This window comes from Homo sapiens, chromosome 1 (genome assembly GCF_000001405.40).
Source record: "Homo sapiens chromosome 1, GRCh38.p14 Primary Assembly".
Classification (NCBI taxonomy): Eukaryota; Metazoa; Chordata; class Mammalia; order Primates; family Hominidae; genus Homo; species Homo sapiens.
The window spans coordinates 174,255,832-174,274,445 of NC_000001.11; the positions used below are offsets into that span (position 1 = coordinate 174,255,832).

An 18,614-nucleotide genomic window follows, 5' to 3' on the forward strand; every position below is an offset into this window, starting at 1 on the left:
CTCTTTCTCTTCTCCCTGCTACTCGCTATACACACACAGTTGTTTTCCTGAACACTTTTAAGAGTGAGTTAAATACATCGTGGCCCTTTCCTCCAAGTGCTTTAGTGTATGTTTTCCAAGAATAGGGATATCGCTTACATCACCACAGTATACTTATCAACATACGTGAATTTAGCATTCATACACAACTTTTAATCTAACCTGCCATTTGCCTTCCTATTTTGCCAGTTAACCTAATAATATCCTTTCCCCCACTCCAGTTCAGAATTCATTCCAGGATTAGATATTGCATTTAGTTACCATATGTCTTTAGCTTTCTTTAACCTGGAACATTTCCACAGCCTTCCTCTGTCTCTTAAGACTTGGACGTTTTTGGAGAATACATCCATTTTTCCTCTTTTTAATATAACATTGCCCATTTTTGGCTTTGTTTAATATTTGTGACTAAATTCAGATTATATATTGCTGCATAGTTTATATGTCCTTCACAGAGTATCACATCTGGAGGCAGATGGCTATCACAGAGATAGCCATCTGTCCCTTGATGATGATGATGTTAATTCTGATTACATAGTTAAGATGTCTGATTTCTTCCCACTATGATTACTTTTTTTCTTCCTTGCAACCAGTAAGCAGTCTGTGAGGAAACACATTAAGACCATGAAAATATGCTGGGCGCGGTGGCTCACGCCTGTAATCCCAGCAGATTGGGAGGCCGAGGCGGGCAGATCACGAGGTCAAGAGATCGAGACCATCCTGACCAACATGGTGAAACCCCGTCTCTACTAAAAATATAAAAATTAGCTGGGCGTGGTGGCGGGTGCCAGTGGTCCCAGCTACTTGGGAGGCTGAGGCAGGAGAATCCCTTGAACCCGGGAAGTGGTGGTCGCAGTGAGCCAAGATCACGCCATTGCACTCCAGCCTTGTGACAGAGGGAGACTCCGTCTCAACAAAACAAAACAAAACAAAACAACCAACCACGAAAATATATCCTGCTCCTCATCAAAATATCCTCCTTAATTTAACATTCTTGTATGATTCTTGTTGGATCTAGTCTGTACTATGATGATTGCAAAATGATTAATTTCTCAACTCTTGCCTTCTCTCTACATTTTGTATTCAGTCCTTGGCATTCTGATGTAAACCAGAGCTTTCCCTTTTCTTCCATTTAACTACTTGTTATTGATATAGATTCCTAAATTTAACCCCACCTCCTCCCCCCAGTACTATATAATTGACTGAAGTACCTGATTATTTTGGTGTTCAAATTGCCCTAGAATCAACCAGTTGGAGCCCCTTCGAACCCTATCTTTATGACATGCCTGCATCATTTTTTTGAGCACTTCCTTTTTAGCATAACAAAGCATCTTTCAATTTAAAAAGTCTGTAGCAACACAGACAAAGAAGTACTAGGTATTGAGTTAATTTAACTTTGAATAAGCGTTATTTTAAAATCTTGGACTTTTATGATTAAGTGGTATATTATGCCTGAACTGTGCCTAAATGTAAAGGAATGCAATCCTTCCTTTTCTCAGTAAGTTCCATGTTTGATCAACTTGAATATAGAAACCTAGACAAATATAGGTGAAATAGTTGAATGCCTAATTATATATATGTTCTTTGCTAACTGGGTAGAACATTTGCACACACATTTAAATATATTACACAAAACAATAACTTAGAAATGTTACTTTTTGCCCACCCTTATATTCATACAACAATTTTATCAGACTCTCATAATCTTTAATATTGATATCTTCATCATCCTTAAAACTACTTTTTGAATAATTTTAAGGCATTTTTTCCAGAGCACATTATGTCAACTTCTGCCTGAGTTGAGAGAAAATGCCTTTTGAATCAGTATATGCTACTAACATTGGATATTTTACCAAAAACACGAGTACACATTTGTACACATTAGGACAATTGTTTTTAAAGTTACTTTGAATACATAAATGCTATATTGGTTTTATTTCTTTGTTAATTGACACAGAAGAGTTGTATTATTGTGTACATGTTTTGAGATATGTATACTTGTGGAATGGCTAAATTACATTGTTTTTATTTTAACAACTATTTTGCTGATGCTAATATCTAACACTTGCAACCTTGGACTCATATATCCAACAGTAATTACTGAATCCATGTTAAATTTCATTGCTTCCTTTTCCACTGATTCTGTCAGATAATCTCTGTAAACATCCAAATGTTAATTGACTAAGATTTCTTCAGGTGAATGACTCTTCCCTAAACAATACTTTGTTCAGCATAACAGACCAAATTACCTGTGATACAGAAGATTTAGTAAATTCTTGGATTTTTCTATATTGGTAAAAGAAACATTTGCATTTCATTGGATTAAATGTGGTATTTAATATGTTTAAATCAGACTGTAAACAGTGGAATTTAAGGTAGTCCAGCAGGTGGCAGCCTTACCAAGAAAATTCTTAACACCTCTGAATCTTTTTTGTTAGACTGGGTCTCACTCTGTCACCCAGCCTGGAGTGCAGTGGTGTGATCATGGCTTACTACATCTTTCATTGCCTAGGCTCAAGCGATCCTCCCATCTCAGCCTCCTGAGGAGCTGAGACTACAGGCACATGCCATCATTCTTAGCTAATTAAACATCTTTTTTTTGGAGAGATGGGGGTCTCCCTATGCTGCCCAGGCTGGTCTTGAACTCCTGAGTTCAAGTGATCTTGACTTGGCTTCCTAAAGTGCTTGGCTTCCCAAAGTGCTGGGATTATAGGCGTGAGCCACTGTGCCTGACCCAAATCTTTAATAACTGCTGCTGACAAAGTTAATTTGTAATATAAAAGCATTGGTGTGAAAGAAAATCCTTCAAATTACATAATTTTTATCTTCTGAACGAGAAAATAAAATTTATCATTAAAAAATTTTTAAAATCATTATTTAAATTATGTAAAATTATCAACATTCTGGGTTTTTTTTTGTTTGTTTTTGGTGACAGGACCTCGCTGTGTTGCCCAGACTGGAGTGCAGTGATGTGATCATAGCTCACTGCAGCCTTGAACTCCTGGGGTCAGGCTATCCTCCTGCCTCAGCCTCCCAAGTAGCTGGGACTACAGGTGTCCACCACTACTCTGGGCTAATTTTATGTTGTCTTATTTATCTTTCATAGAGACGGGGTCTCGCTTAGTTGTCTGGGCTGGTCCCAAACTCCTGGCTTCAAGTGATCTTCTTGCCTCAGCCTCCCAAAGTGCTGGGATTACAAGTGTGAGCCACCATGCCTGGCCAATATTCTGTTTTTTTTTTTGAAAAATATATTATGAAAGAAGCCATTTCTGTGTGCATCCAAGGGTTTAAGGGTTGTTTATATCTAGATATTTTGCAAATTATACTGCAGTTGTCTGTCTTGACCCTTTTGATAACAAGCACTATGTTGTTTATCCCAGAATCCCCAGCATCTACTATAGTGCTTGGAATACAGAGCTTTATACTTAGCTACTTACTCCTTACTTAGCACTTTCTCAGTGCCAGGCACTGTTCTAGGTGGTATTTCTGAGGTATAGGTACTATTATCTTCATTTTTCAGTTGAGGAAACTGAGGTACAAAAGTTACATAACTTGACCAAGGCTATAAAATTACTTTTTAACTAAGTACATCTAGTACTAGAACACATATTCTTACTCTCTACTGCTTCTTTTTAAATACTTGACTAAATCAATAAAAAGTATATAAAAGTTTATAAAGTTAGAGCATTGGCTAAATTTGTTGTAATATGGAATTAATAACTGCACATTGCACCAATAAAATCCTATGTATTTTAAAGAATGTATGAAAACTGTTCTCAAGTCATGAAAACTTTTAATATTCTTTTCCTTTTCTTGATTACCCATGTTGGATATCACATATTAAGCTTTATTTAATAACTGGATATAAAAGAGCAATAATAATGGCCAACATTTAATGAACACTTACTATTTGGTGGCCATTGAACAACTTTTCTTAACATATGAGGAAGGTACTGTTATTATTACTGCATTTTTTTTTTTTTTTGAGACAGAGTCTCACTCTGTCACCCAGGCTGGAGTGCAGTGGTGTGATCTTGGCTCACTGCAACCTCTGCCTCCCGGGTTCAAGCAATTCTTCTGCCTCAGCCTCCTGAGTAGCTGGGACTATAGGCATGCGCCACTACACCCGGCTAATTTTTGTATGTTTAGTAAAGATGGGGTTTCACCATATTGGTCAGGCTGGTCTTGAACTCCTGACCTCGTGATCTGCCCGCCTCAGCCTCCCAAAGTGCTGGGATTACAGGTGTAAGCCACCACGCCTGGCCTATTACTCCATTTTATAGATGATGAAACAGAGGTTTAATCAGGTTAAGTAACTTTGGTTACTTGGCCAGAAACTGGTAGAGCCAGGATTTAAACCAGGGTCATCTGATTTCTGACTGTGTACTCTTAAAGGCTAAACCCAATTAATTCTTGATTATATACTAGGTTTAAAATTAAGCCAGTTTGAAGATAAATGAATTGGTATTCTTTGGTATCTTTTCAGCAGAATTTAAAAGTGCGAACTTAGATGTTAGGGCATTCAAGTGATTGCTCAGAAATTTCAAACCCTCAGTGCCTTGGGAGAAAAGCCAATTTGTAGAAGAGAAAGCTGACATTAACAACTAAGAGGAGAAAGCAAGATCATTGTATATGAAATGTGTGAGGAGTGGTAGGGCAAAGCTTACTTATTGAGGGTCTCCAGCTGAGATGTTAAAGTGTGTGTACATGAGGTCAGGCTCTTCTGGTGTTCCCAAAGCAGAAATGGTGATCATTTCTCTCTCTGACTAGCTGCCATTATTATGGGTTTTGGTATCACCACATACAGAAATATTGCAAAAGATTTCTTGCATACTAACACATTGATATGTATTTTTAAAGCCTTGATAGTGTTTAAAATACACTATTACTAGCACTGTTACCTAAATGCACTATTACTAGCACTATTACTTAGCACCTACTTGGATGCTTTGAATAGTTTGCTATGCTCAATATTCCAAAGGTGAGAGAAGGGGAAATTTTTTCAGTCTTTGCCATTAGTGCTCTGTCTAGTTGATTTTTTTTTTTGCCAAGTATTACTTCTTATTTCATGATAAAATGATTCAAGACAAATAATACCATATACATTTAGAAAATGGGCCTCTTTATTATTCCTTAACATGAAGAGGTTCCAATAATGGTAGTTTCAGGCCTTGGGGAAGGGTAATCAGGAAGCGATTTTTGGCACCAGGTTTTATGTCTGTCCTATCACTCTTCTCAGGGGTCTGCCCTCATATTAATACTTGTGCTAACCAGAATGAAGTAGTGATACAGCAAGCAGAATATAATGATTAGAGTTGTTATAAGCACACAACTCAATTTGCAGTGAGTAACATGGGCCAACACTGTTGGAAAATAAGGATTTCCATGAGCCACTTCTATCTCACATTGATTTGGGGGGATACAATCATTATATATACATTAGAAAAACATCACTTCTAAATGACAGTGATCATATCAGATCATGTAGTTTGATCATTTGGAGAGTTCAGTGATGTGCCTCTTTTGGTAGCAATTTTGCTTCAGTTTTCAATTTGTGCTTGCCGGCTTGCAGCACAAACTATATAATGAGAAACTGAAGTGATAAGAACCATACTGTGTAGCATGGGTGATTGATAGTACCTTTCCTTGTGTTATTTTCTTGAGGAAAAGATATCCTAGACAAGGAGTACTGAAAAAATCACCCAGGGACTCTCTTCTTCTCATGAAACAGTTTTTTAGTGTGAGTTGACATCACTAAATTTGATGGACAGTAGAATTTGAATTGTTTATTATTTTTTGACTGCTCTAACTTGATGTTAGACCATTCTGAGGGTCTTTTGCTGGATTTACTTAGTACTTATTTTTACTTTTGCCTTAGCAAGTTGTTACAGTTTTATTTAGGTAAAAACTCAAGTTACTATCTTGAAGTTGCCTAGATGTCAGTCTGATTTGGATGTTTTATTCTCTTATGTGAATTAGTACGTTTATGAACTTTTACAGCAAAATAAAGAATTTTAGATGTTATAATAATTTCTCTTAGAGGATATCATTCCTCCCTTTCCTGAAAATGGGAATAGATTAGTGGGATGACCCATATTCTGCATAACATTTTAAAAGCTACCCTGTGAGCTTACTCACTTGTCCTTTTTGTGTTTTCTTTTAAGGCAGTAGAAGGATAACTCTCTTTTTCCATAGGAAAACAGGTATTACTTACTTATACAAAAGTACTTTCATTATTCTCTGTTAATGATTTCATGTGACAATTGATAGAAAGCTATTGGCATTTTCAGGTGAATAATTTGGGGAGTGGATAACTGGAAGCTTCTATCTGACTCTCAGCCTTTGAACTGAAACTTGTAATCAGGACAGAATTTTCAGCATCTTTTCATTGCTGGCTTCTGTTGGCACCCAGTGGGGAGAGGCGGCATCATGGTTTAAGTATTAAATGTGGATGTAGTACTATTACGTTTTTAGCATTGTATTTTAAGAAATACTTTTAAAATATGAGCAATGAAAACATATATTGTTGTCTGTAATGTGTTCTCATAAGTTGATTGATTCTAGATGTTTTGGAGCTCATTAAAAAAAATTCCAGTTTGAAGTAATTGTAGATGCACAGGAAATTGCAATAATAGTATAGAGATGCTCTATGTGTGCTTCCCCATTTCCCCCTATGGTAACATCTTACATAACCATAGTACAGTATCACAGCTAGGAAACTGGCATTGGTACAATTTGCAGACCTCTATTGCAGCTCTTTTTGAATCCTTTTATAAATCACAGTATACTTCTATAATATAAACATTTAATTTATTGGTTTAAGAAATTTGGATATGTAGCCTGGCTGCTAATTAGAAGAGATTGGGTATTTTAACCATATCCTATCCAGTTACCAGGTTATTGCCCCTTGGCTCCAAATCTGTCCTCTTAGCTGATCTGCATTAATGGAGCTTTAAACATTTCTTCTTTGCAGCAAGCACAATATTAAATTATGCCAGTAGAGGGTGTTGCAGGGACACTGCAGGAAGATGGGGTTTCTTTTGTTTCTGATGTGTTACATTTATTGTTTTCTTGCTCTTGCTTATTGTAAGATCCAGGGACATCCAGTGATGCTGTGCTTTTGCTGATGTTTGGTTCAACCCAGCTGTGCACTCACATGCAGTCCCTCCGTGAGCTCATAGCTTTGGTTCTGTCTCAGTGAGGCCCTCCTACAGCCTTCCTGACACAGACACTGTGTGCCCCAGGCCTCGTACCACCCTGCCAGTGAGCTGACTCTGGAAGCCCTGATTTCCTTTGCCCACCTGCCTGCCAGCCTTTGCTGGCTGCAGCCCAGAGGGTTTCCTGCGTGCCTGTGGTCTAGCTTTGCCTGGGCAGTCCAACAAACTTCTTTGCTATTCATTGGGCTGTAATCCTGCCTTCTCCAGTGAGGTCTGAATACCACCTTTGGTGAAAGGACCCAACTTCCACGTTAGTTCTTCTTGTGGTACTCTCCCTTAGCTTTAGGGTTAAATTCTCTTTGTAGTTACTCTACTATGACAGTTAATAATTCTTTATAGTAAATTTTCCCTGTTTAAATTACTGTGTTTTCTGTCCTAATCAAATGCTGACTTACAGTATCTAATTGAATTAATATCTAATGATATTAAGCAGTCCATAAAGTTTCTGATATTTTTCCAGGAAAAACAAAACAAAAAAGTGGTTATTTTAGATAATCTTTTTACTGTCACAGTAATGGCAAGGAAAAAACAACTATTATTTCTACCGTATGTTTATTTCCATTCCACGCACAGCCTTTTTCTTACTAAAGCAAGAAACCCTGCAAAGTAGATTATCTTTTATTTACTTTTTTTTTTTTAACGGGGAGTAGGGAGCTAAAGCATTTTATTTTGCCTTGCTATGAGATCTAGCTTATAATTGGCAACACAAGTATTTGAATCAAGACCATCTTGCTATTCTTCCTAAAGCCTTTTCATTTGACTCTTCTGTATGACTTTCTTTCTTTTTTGGGGGGCCGGGGGATGTTTACAGGGGTCAGTATTAAGTACCTATAAATAGGATATGATTATTTTATTTCTTTAGTAAATATTGTTTAGTTACTAATATTTTATCCGTATTTGTAATAGTAGCATAGTTGTTTTATTCCCTTTTCAAGATCTTTGGATCATTTGAAGGGAAGAGGGAGGAAGACTTAAAAATGTTATTTTTTTTTTAGTAGGACTTTAAGCAATTAATTAAAAGTTAAATATGTCTTATAGGTGAAATTTTGTATTTGTGCTTTAAATATTTGATTTTTAAAATTTTCAGCATATTTTAATAAATTTACTCATTCTTTTTATTTCCCTGGTATTTTTTAAATTTTGAAGTTTTATATATTTAGGTGAATTATTTCATTATTCCACTGTACTACAAGAAACTTAATTCTTTTATAATATGAAATGTCCCTGCTTTTAAGGCTAATTTTCTACTTGTATACTCTATTTTATTCCATTTTGACATCTCAAAGACATTGTTTAAGCAGTCTTTCTTCTACCACACTTGCTTGTTAGATTAGCCCATCCAGTCTCATGACTTTAAATATATCTATGACTGGATGATTCCAAATGTTTTTCTCTGACCTGAGGTCTCCAAACTTATATATTCAACAACTTCAGATCTTCATCTGGCATCTCAAAGTTAATATGTTCAAAAATCAAACTAAAAAATCAAGTTTGACACTGTCCCAAACTTGTTCCTCCTGTAATTTCTCACAGTCTTTTTAATTTGTAACTTGATCTTTCCAATTATTGTAGATGAAAAACTTGGCATTTTCAACTCCATTTTCTCTCACTCTACATCTAATTCTTCATTAAATCATATTAGTTCTACTTCCAACTATGTAAAGAAAGAAAAACCCTAGAGGAAAGGGATTAAAGAAAAAATACGAATAGAAATGGGAAAAAATATAGACTGTAGATAAAAGAAAAAAATTAGAAAAAAAAACAAAAGAAATGACAATCGAGAGAAAAAGAAATAGGAACTCCAAGTCTAATCACTAGTTTTCTTATTTTATCAAAAGTTAATGTAGGTACTTTTGCTATAAATTTTCTCATAAAATTGAATTCATCATTTTTTGCCCATGTTTTGTTCAACCCTATCTACATGTGTTTTATGAGTGATAATCAGGAATCAGTAGCCTGCAAAATGAGCCTTTATGAAGGAGAAAAATGGACTTTTGTTAATCAGCTGTAGCTGTACAGGGGAAGATATTCCTTTTCTTTATGCTTTTAGATGTTTTTGAATTGTGTTTACAAATACATTCAATTGTAAAAATACTTGTAAATTAGCACCCGTTTATTTTGATGCATATAGCTAGTATCTGCAAAAGCCCAAATAATGTATCACTATCTGAATGTCCTGTATTAGTCTTACTGAATGGAAAAGCAAAATAATTGATTTTAAATGTTTTAAGCAGGGATTAAACCATGTCAGACTTTGAAATTTATTGGTTTTCTTGTTATAATCATTTTTAATATATTTTAAAATCTGACTGTAGCTAAGTTCTCATTTTGTATTTGAAGGGAGTTAGTAAAAGTACTCATATTTGGTGGGAGGATGGCTTGAATCAGGAAGTGGAGGTTGCAGAGCTGAGATTGTGCCACTGCACTCCAGCCTGGGTGACAGAGCTGGAGCCTGTCTTGAAAAAAAAAAAAAAAAAAGTGAAGAAGGAAAGCACTCATATTTGAGTTATTCTGCATTTTAAATTTTGACCCTTTATTAATGTGAGAATTAATGGGAACATTATTGCTAAGGATGGTATGGAGGGTTTTTTTGTTTTTATTTTTGAAATTTATTCAATGAAAAATTTTAAGAACATTGACCTAAAAATATTCTTCTTTCTGTATGTTATTTTCTCTGTACTGGTATTTTTTTTTGTTTTTGAAATTTGTTGGTTGAAAATTTAAAAAAAGTGGACCTAAGATATTCTTCTTTTATAGCCTATCTGCATGTTAAATTCTCTGTACTGGTAGCAGCTCTATGGCAGTCCTAAGATCTATTTAGGTTATTTTTTTCTTGGTGATTTTTCCTAGTGTTCTAGGAAATCTAAGATAGATAGTTAGTTACATAGACAGATAGATAGATAAAACGATTTCCTACCTGATGAATGAAAAGAGTAACCAATTTTTAAATCTGGAGAGACTCCTTCTTCCTATTACTGATATCACTGAAGTTACTAGAGTGAAATTTTTAGGATAAATAGCTATAGAGTACCCTCATCTGGGTTTGAATCTTGGCTTTACAGTGATCTTGGTCAAGTTATTTAACTTCTCTGTGCTTCAGTTTGCAATTTGTAAATTGTGAATAAAACTTACCTCTTAAGATTGTGGGGAGAAGATTAGCTAGTAACTGTAAAGTGTTCACAATAATGCTTAATAAATGCATGCTATTATTACTATTAGTGGTACTATTACAACAACCACAGTTAAGATTTTAAGACTATTGGTCTTTTTTGAGTGATAATCAGAAGTAAGTAACCTGCAAAATCTGAGTAGACTGCTACCACTGGAAGGCAAAATCTTGGCTAGAGTTCTTTAGAACCTATGTGTGTATATACAGGCAGTCCTTGCTTTGTAGTTATGGTATACATTATTTTCTCTTACCGTGGTTCAGTTACAACACTAGTCTCCCAAACACATGGTTCAAATTTCTGTTACCATAGTATATTAACAGAGTAATTGCAAAACAAACTCTGCTGTTCAGTCCACAAGTCACTATATACATACATGATTAGTGACCAATCATGTCGCTTCTTCCAAAGTCTGTTGGTGATTGGTCACTGTGTATCTGTTATTCACTTTACTTACAGATAGCAAAGTATGTGGTTGTGTTGCCTCTTTGTCTCTGGTAATAAATCCATTTGACATTTTACAAAAATGGATAATCCAAAGAGGAAATTGGCCAACAAAGCTAACAGTGCTACAAAGAAATGAAAAGTCATAATGCTGAAAGTGAAATTGCATGTAATTTTAGAAGATGCACAGTCTTAGAAGATTTTAAAATGGCAACAGCAAAATGAAGACAGAATGAGACCTAGGCCTGTATAAAGTTGTGATATGAACCATATTGAAAAAGTATGATAAATTTAAAAAAATGATAAAATCACTCCAACATCCTTTAGTTTAAGTTTCACTAGGAACAGAAAGCTGCTTATGGTTTAACTGGAGCATATACTTCTGCTTTGGATTAAGACTGTAATAAACAAAAATTCCAATCAGTTTTGCTAGCATGTCAGCCAAAATACTGAAGTTAGATGCCACATCAAAAGGAAATAGTAATTATAAGGAGACTGGAGATTATGCAATTTCTTTATCTCAATTTTGGGAGAAATATGACATAAAGCATGCAGTTGAAGACATCATTTCAGGGAGCAACAATGAATATTATGTCTGTAGTATAGCAAACTTTTACTTCGCTATAGAAGTAACTTTGAAGGATATGAATAGGACACTTATGGAGATGTAGAATAAATAGCTGTCTGTGGGAGTGTTGACACTGTTGCTATTCAGTGGACTCTAGATATGCAGCCAGATGAACTTTGTGAAGATGAACTTATCAGTGTAAATAAGGAAAGTGGTTGTGATGAAAAGCATGAATGTTCCAGGGGAAATGACTCTGGCAAATTTTTCACATTAAAGGAACTCTTGGAGATACTTCACAACATTGAACATGCAAAGGATAAAGTTTGGAAGTTAATCCAAACTTAGAAAGGAATATGACAGTTTGCCAAGATAGAAAAAATACTTTGTATTGTAAATTATATGAGAAGGCAGCAAGCACTGTTCAATATATTCTTGATAAGTTTTTTTAAATAATTAAAATACTTTAATTTTTGTGCTTCAAACAACGAAGTGCTAAATAAACAATAGTTTTACTTTTTAACAATTGTCCTATATATTTATAACTGAAAGTAAGAGAGTTTTTGAAGTTTGGACAAAAATTTTTAAAGGTTACTGAAGAATCATAATTTTTCCTTTTGAAAAATATCATTTTATATGCAGTTTTGCTTATATGGTTATTTTTGTGGTTCCACACCACTGTACATAGTGACAAATGCCTGTGTATCTTTCTCTACTTCAGTCTTTTTAGTAAGGGAAATAACAGTCTCATTGACACAATAGAAGATTTGCCCAATTATCTTTTTGCTTTAGCCCCTTTGGGGAGACTGACTGAGATTCCAACTTTTATGAAATTATTTAGTTTTAGTGTTTTGCATAAAGTTTTGAAAAACTGTGATTGCATTATAGATTTTCTTATTTGCAGTTCTGTTTTTCCCTTTCTATTATGCTGTCACTTTTTCATTTTTTTTTTTTTTTGAGACGGAGTCTTGCTCTGTTGCCCAGGCTGGAGTGCACTGGTGCAATCTCGGCTCACTGTAAGCTCTGCCTCCCGGGTTCACGCCATTCTCCTGCCTCAGCCTCCTCGGTAGCTGGGATTACAGGTGCCCGCCACTACGCCCGGCTAATTTTTTTTGTATTTTTTAGTAGAGACGGAGGTTTCACCATGTTAGCCAGGATGGTCTCGATCTCCTGACCTTGTGATCTGCCCACCTCGGCCTCCCAAAGTGTTGGGATTACAAGCGTGAGCCACTGCGCCCAGCCACTTTTTCATTTTTAATAATAAAAGTTTAGTACAGCAAGAGAGCGTGTTCTTTTCCTCTCTCTCCTTCCCTACCTTCCATTTTTATCTTCATGGAGATATATGTAATTCCTAATGATTTGATAGACTAAAGGTAAAAGTTTTTAAAAAATTAGTTTCATATTGCAGGACATTAATACAACATCTGTTTTTCTCACTTTTTCCTGCAGTTAAGTCTAAAGCCGTATTAGTGATACAGAGTTTTTGGTATTTGTTCTAGAGGTTAACTTGGTGTTAAAAGCTGCTTAAAGTTCTATTTTGAGTAAACACTAAGTATTACTATGAAAGGGAGAGCTTTCTCTTCTTAATGGTAATGGTAATTATAATAATTTATAATTATCAACTGTTTTATAGTTTACAGTGCCCTTTCATCATGAGTTTTTTCTTTTCTTTTTCTTTTTTTTCTGAGACGGAGTCTTGCTCTGTTGCCCACGCTGGAGTGCAGTGGCGCAGTCTCGGCTCACACAAGCTTCGGCTCACACAAGCTCTGCCTCCCCGGTTCACGCCATTCTCTCGTCTAAGCCTCCCGAGTAGCTGGGACTACATGCGCCCGCCACCAGGCCCGGCTAATTTTTTTGTATTTTTAGTAGAGACGGGGTTTCATCTTGTTAGCCAGGATGGTCTCAATCTCCCGACCTCGTGATCCGCCCACCTCGGCCTCCCAAAGTGCTGGGATTTACAGGCGTGAGCCACTGCGCCACCGCGCCCGGCCAGGAGTTTTTTCATGTCGAGTTTACGTTGACGTAATGAACATGAAAGCAAGTATTTGTACTTCAGAAATGTGGAAAGTGAGACTTTGAGGTTTGTGATTTGCCCAGGGTCTCTCAGGGAGCTTATAGTCTTTTACTGACAGTCCTTGGCAGGCTGTAATGTAAAAGACCATATAGTTTTGTAGTGATAGACATGGGCATGAATCCCGGTCGTGTAACTTAGTAGCTATGTGGCTTTGGGCAAAACCATTGTTTTTGAAAATCAGTTTTATCGTTTGTTGTATGAAGGTTGCTTTGAAATTTAAATGTAACAGTATAGTAGAGCCTGGCTTAAAGTTAAGACATTCAATAAACAATATCTATTATTATGATAATAATTGATATAATAGCATCATCAGCTCATTCTCAGGAGGTTGATTTCAATTTTTCAGTGAAGTCAGCTATTCACTATATTATAAATTATGTTGGATGTCTCTTCTATACTTTGTTGATATTATGTACTTACAGGTATTTTAGAACGAATGATATCAGATTCTAATTGCCTGTTTACTTATTTTCCCCCCCACTATACTGTAAACTCCTTGAGAAAATAGGTGGGATAGCAATTTGCTTTTTACCTTATCTATAGAGTTAATAAGAGACTGTTGAATGCTTTGAACTCCCCAGTGAAACACTGAATACTCCTATTAGGTGTTAATGTTACTAATAATATCTATCTAATTTCTGACACATTATTCCTAATAGATCTTGCTGGCCTCCATAGGAATCCTGGTGTGCTTTAATGAAGTGTAATTTTGAAAATGACTAATACAGCTTGACAGAAAATAATTATGTAATTTAAGTGCTTAAAGTTCATGTATTATACCTTTCCTGTTTGCTAGAAGAGGGAGCAGAGTCCCAGGGGGTTAGGTGCTTTCTCTAAGGTCATGCTGGTTGGTGGCAGGGCTTTTTTTTTTTTTCCAGGCCAGGAAAAGATTAGTGCATTAAAGATTATCAAAATAAGGTGATGAGTATTGCTACTTAAGAAAAATCCAAACCTCTAAGGCTCCTTTTGCAGTACAATGTAATATAGAAATATTATGCTGAGAAAATGTGAAATTTCATCTATTTTATCATTCACCTGGAAGTGCTTGAGAAACAAATGACATTAAACTTTAACTTTTATTATAGCCATCAGAGATTACAAAAGGTAGGAGGGTGGGAGAGCGGGGTGAAGGTTGAAAGATTACCTATTGGTTACAATGTTCAGTCTTTGGTTGATGGGTACTCTAAAAGCCCAGACAGACTTTATCTCTACATAATGCATACATGTAAGAAATCTGCACTTGTAATCCTTATGCCTATAAAAATAAAAATTAAAAAAAATCTTTTTCTGCCTTAAAAAATAAAAAAATCCTTTAAATTTTCAAAAAGAACAAAAAGAAAGAGAGTATACTTTCCAAACTGTTAGCATTATTTCCTAAGGAGGCTGACAGAAGGGAGAAATTATTTTTTCTTTACATACTTTGGTATTTGTTAACTTATTATGGTGACTATATAATGGGTTTGTAATTTAAACCCTATAATATAGAACATTGTTCTTAAAACAAAAAACCATTAGAGATGCAAGCTGAAGCAAAGTATGTAGGGATGTGTGAGATAAATCTGTTCTCATTGACCTAATTTTTTAGAGAGTCAAATTTTATTTCTAAAAAAGAATTAAATCTTTTATTCTTCCTTAGCAAGAATTTAGGGCAGTAGTATAAGAAATAGTACAGTGAATTGCATGATTGATTATTATTTAATTTGTGTAGACAGTGTTTATTACAAGAATTCATAGGAGAGAGATCATAGCAGTATATAGGTGAAATTATGAATACTAGAGTATAATTATTTCTCTTGTAGATTATATTTTGTTCTCTGTATTTGAAAAGTTATCCTCAGAGCTTACCAACTTTAGCTTTGCTATGTACGTGATCATTTTTGGGTGCCAGAAGGAAGCCTTGAACAAGTGATCCTCAAGAACTTATAGGAAGTATACATTTACTCCTTACTAAGCTTACATTTGGACAGGACCAGTGATCTTGCTCATGTCAGCATTAGCCATGATACTAGGAGAGTAAACCTTTGAAAAACAACAAGGATGAGAATAACGGTTGAGTGGTTAGCTGCCACTATTTTGAAATTGAAAAAATCTTATGTTTAATATAGTTATATTCTTTACCCTTTCTATAAATTGTTACATAGCATATCTTGAAGTTTTGGGAAACTACAATAAAAACATTCTTGTGTGTGGGTATGTGTTGTTGGCAGAGGGACCCTGTGGACAGATTACATTGCTTCTCAAGTTACGAGACCTATAATATAGCAGTATGAATTTGGGTAAATTGCTTAACTTCTCTGGACTTTACTTTGCTTACATGTAAAGTGGAGTTAATAATAGCCTAACAAACATAAAAATCTTCGAGTTAGCTGAATTTTAGAGCTTATGCAAATCCTTTACAAATAAAGTGGCAGTGTTGATGGGATTCCTAAAGCTTCTCTGGCATCAGGAAGCACAGAACAATATTAAATAGTTAACAGTAAATTAATAATATGTTGGATATAATATCTTCACTAATAGCCCATTTAGTAATAAAGTTTGCATAACTTTTTTTTTTTAAAACTGAGGATATAGTATTAACATGCTACTTAGTGAACATGACTGTGGAGGGCCAGGGTAACAACAGTTTGCTTTCTTTTTAATCTGGTTTGATGCAAAGAGAGCATAGTGTCATCTTCTTATTTTTAAAAACCTCGTTTTTGGTTTAACTGGGTTAATGGATTTTGACCTATATGTTTGGAATAAGTCTAAGGCAAATAAAATCTCTTATCTCCCTAGAAACTAATTTGTATCTCAGTACCATATTTTCTTTCAATTAACAACTTATGGCCACTTTTATGGTAGTTTCTTATTGGTAATATTTTACATGCAAATAAAGATCTGGAAATTTAGATGACTTATTTCTGTGTGATTTTATTATCTATCTTCATAAATACTTATTTCTGGTGTTTTTAGAAAAAAAACTAAAGCTTATAAATACAGAGCTCAGATTGTATAGTTATTGTAAAAAGGCTTTATGCTCACTGGGCTTCTATATATTCTTGATACCTTATTTCTCCTTTTTTTCCCCCAATATTTTCAGATGTTTTGGAATGTTATTAAGCCCAGGTCGAAACGTGAAGAACAGTGACATGCATTTACTGGATATGGTAATGATAATCTTAAGCACCTTAACCAAGTATAGATGATAGTTATTTTATATTTGACAAGTATTTTCTATTTACAAATTTTGTCATATTGTCAAAATTATTTCTTGCAGCTGTGTGATAGTAATAATTAAATTTGGAAACGCAAACTTAAAATTACTTGTGAAAGAGGAATTCAGGACAATTTCCACCAAAACAGTCATATGCAACAAATAAAAGGATTGTGTTATGATAATGTCCATTTATTTTTTTGGCTTCTTAGAAAGATATCTTTTCTTTGAACCTGTAGTAACAAGTACATGATTATAACAAGCATCTCCAGAGTGAATATGGTGCCTTTCATTTATTTTAATGCACTGCTATTAATTTGAGTTTGTGATGGGTACTTTTGTTTTCTTTAAAGCGTTTCCCTTTCTGAATTTCTTCTTGATTACCTGTCCTTAGCAAAGTACACTTATACTAGGAGTAATATTTATTTAAGGAATGTCCTTAAAGGTTAATATATATTCAACAGTTGATATTTAGTGTAAAAGTAGCAAGCTATTTTAACTTTCAAATAGAAATACCTTCTAATATTGCAGTTAGTGAAAACATTTAATTTGTGATTTGGAGACGTTATAGGAAAATAATCATCTTAGAGTAAGTATAAAGTTTCTTAGTGAACTGAAATTCTTATATTTAGTGATAATAAGCACTATATGCTTTCTTCTTTTTAGCTGTGTTTTGCAAATATCAGTTAAACATTACTAATTAGGTCAACTTTTTTTTGAGTAATTTCATGGTAATATCAATACTGATTTTATAGCAGTACAGGAATGGTTTATTCAGGCTTTTGGGTACCTGTTTGTCTGCTAAGTGTTGTGTGAAGTGATGAGGTTATGCATATGAGTAAAATATAGCTCTTACCATCTGTGGGTTCATGGTCTTGTGGGAAACAAACTTTTTAGTATCTGGTGGTACTTCAAGCCACAGAAATATAGAGGAAGCACTGCCTGAATAGGTCAGGTAAGGAAAACCAGTTAAATTGATTATTAAAACATAAATTAGCTATTGATCTATGTCTCTTACATCTTTTTTTTTTTTCTTGACCACATATCAGTAATGAAAGTGGTTTTACCTAAGGCAAGCCATTAGCATTTTGGAGCCCTGAAAATTCCATGAGGAAGTAAATTAGGAGGATTGAGGTAATGAAAACTTTTAAGATCCTAGGTCCTAATTAATCATGGTCTTTCAGAGTTTAAAAGACTAAGATGAATTACTGCAGAGATTTGTCCATAAAACCTAAATTCAGATTACAGAATTATAGAACTGGTATAAACTTCTGAGGCCCCTTCACTATGTCTCTCTAACTTTCAGAACAGTCCTCCCCACCTTTGAGTCCATATCTAAATCAAAAGAGTTGTGAGCATTCATGCTCTCAGACAGAGAAGGGGCTTACTTGCAACAAATAGTTGGGCAAATGAGAGGCTTGTATTTGCAATGATTAGCAGTTGTGATTTGTTATTACCCAGTGTTGTTAATCTTCATAGTGGACATTGAACCTCAGCTAGACTACTTCTAATGAAGAGAAACTCATTACCTTATGTTAAAGTCTAAGGGACAGTTCTGGTTATTACAAAGTTATTTTTTTATAATCACCTGAAATCATAGTTCTTGTAACTTGGCCTAATTAGTCTTAATTCTGCACTCTAGAACAAGATATTAATACTTTTACTCCTTCTATGACACTCCCAAATATCATGTGATCCTCATGACAGGAAAGTCCTATTTATAAATGAAGATATATTTTTCAGTGAAATAGCCAGATTACTTATATATAACAGTCATATGCTGAGTAAGAAAATTTCCGTGAATGATGGACCCATACTTTAAGGTCGTCCCGTAAGATTATAATGTATTTTTACTGTACCTTTTCTGTGTTTAGGTACACAAATGGTATTGTTATAGTTGCTATAGTATTTGGTACAG

At 34.8% G+C, this 18,614-nt stretch overlaps 1 protein-coding gene across 11 annotated transcripts in view; it reads left to right on the top strand.

The window, feature by feature from the left end:
- Positions 1–18,614, top strand: part of RABGAP1L (RAB GTPase activating protein 1 like) — an 835,789-nt gene that overhangs the window by 96,312 nt on the left and 720,863 nt on the right. For all 11 annotated transcript variants that reach the window (NR_158982.1, XM_011510223.3, XM_047436028.1 and 8 more), the window contains one exon: positions 16,583–16,649. Coding sequence is in view for 10 of the 11 variants with exons in the window: in XM_011510223.3 (XP_011508525.1) it covers positions 16,583–16,649 (67 nt within the window). In the remaining variant the exon portion in view is untranslated. The remainder of the gene's footprint in view (positions 1–16,582; positions 16,650–18,614) is intronic.